Genomic DNA, 2098 nt, shown 5'->3' with positions numbered 1-2098 from the left:
GATCAGGGAAATGCAAATGAAAACCACAGTGTGATATCACCTTACTCCTGCAAGAATGGCCATAATCAAAAAATGATAAAATAATAGACGTTGGTATGGATGTGGTGAACAAGGAACACTTCTACAATGCTGGTGGGAATGTAAACTAGTACAACCACTATGGAAAGCAGTGTGGAGATTCCTTAAAGAACTGAAAGTAGAACTACTATTTGATCTAACAATCCCACTACTGCTAATGCCTATCTACCCAGAGGAAAAGAAGTTATACACTTGCACATGCATTTTTTGTATATATATATATATATATACACACACACACACACACACACACACACACACATGCACAATGGAATACTACTCAGTCATAAAAAGGAATGAATTAATGGCATTTGCAGCAACCTGGATGAGATTGGAGACTATTATTCTAAGTGAAGTGACTCAGGAATGGAAAACCAAACATCATATGTTCTCACTCATAAGTGGGAGCTAAGCTATGAGGACAATAAGAATAACACAATGGACTCTGGAGACTCAGAGGGAAAGAGTATGAAGGGGGTGAGGGATAAAATAATACAAATTGGATGCAGTGAATCCTGCTAGGTGATGGGTGCACCAGAATCTCACAAATCACCACTAAAGAACTTATTCGTGTAAACAAACACTGCCTGTTCCCCTATAACCTATAGAAATAATTTTTTTAAGTATGAAGGGTAAATATTAAAATTTGTCTTTATTGATCATTGGCATATGTTTTTGTTTTAAGTTAGCAATTAGTTTTACAATATTTGAAGTATTTTATGCTACAATTTGAGATTATTTGTATTGCCATTTTGTGTTGTTTACATTAATGAGTATTAATTGTTTATATGTGAAAATGAGACAATATTTTAAATTTACCCACACTAAACATGTAATTTTGGATATATTCTAATTTATTCCCTTGCTTTTCTTAAAGCATTGCTTTGAAAACATTTATCTTTACTACTATAAGTTTGTTAATTATTCAACTCAAAAATTTATTTTGCATATTAAAAATATATTCAGGTAATTTAGCAGTATATCTTTGTTGATGATGCTTCTAAATGTTTTGTATTTAATTTCACCAGTGCATGAGATATAAAGCCTTATTCCTACCTTGGGTATGAGAGGGCCAATTGGTTTTTTAAAAATTTGTAATGCAATTTTATTTACTAGATAGCAATTATTTAAAAATTTCTGACAGGGTATTTATTGCTCCTCTTTAACTTCCTGTATAATGTACGAAGAAAATCTTACACTGAAGCAATATTAATTTATTTACAGAAAAATACATTGGAAAACAATCTTCAGGCTAGTTTAAATTAGCTTATGTATTTTCAAGAAATAGTTTTCTTGTCTTTCAAGTTATGCTTCAGTTTGGTAATTTATCCATTTAACAAATTTGTCAAAGCCAGTAGAGGACTAACCCTTTTTTTAAGAATCTAGGGCATGGGCTATCTTAATAGATTTTTTTTATATTGTATTCTACTCCAGTATTTTCCCTTAATACTGCTATGGAGAATATGCTGCTATGGAAACAGTTCTTAGCATTTCCTCTTCACATTGATTTATTTGCTTTATACTTATATTTTCTTGTCATTATTTCTCAAGTTAGTTCACAGTTTTTGGCCATTGAAAATGGGAGTAAATGTTTGAAAATCTTCATATTTTTATACATTTATATTAAGTACATATTGAGAAATTAGACATTTCTAAATACAGACTACTTCCAGCACTAGTATTAGAAGCTTAATCAATGAACATGCTGGGAAATTAAATGTTACAGTTTAATTTATTGCAGTCAGTGACAAATGGCTTCCTAATTCAGTCCTTACGTAATTGTCTTTATTGTTACTTTGTTAATATGCTGTGGCATAATTTAGTTATCTTGTTTTCTTTTTTTTAAGACAGTATCTCACTCTGTTGCCCAGGCTGGAGCGCAGAGGTGTGATCATAGCTCACTGTAGTCTGTAACTCCTGAGCTCAAGCAGTCTTGCCACCTCAGCCTCCAGGCACTGTCATCACTCCCAGCTATTTTTTTTGTTTGTTTTGTAATTTTTAGTAGAGACAAGGTCTTGCT

Source organism: Homo sapiens, chromosome 4 (genome assembly GCF_000001405.40).
Source record: "Homo sapiens chromosome 4, GRCh38.p14 Primary Assembly".
NCBI lineage: Eukaryota > Metazoa > Chordata > Mammalia > Primates > Hominidae > Homo > Homo sapiens.
Note: the sequence above shows the minus strand (reverse complement) of the source record.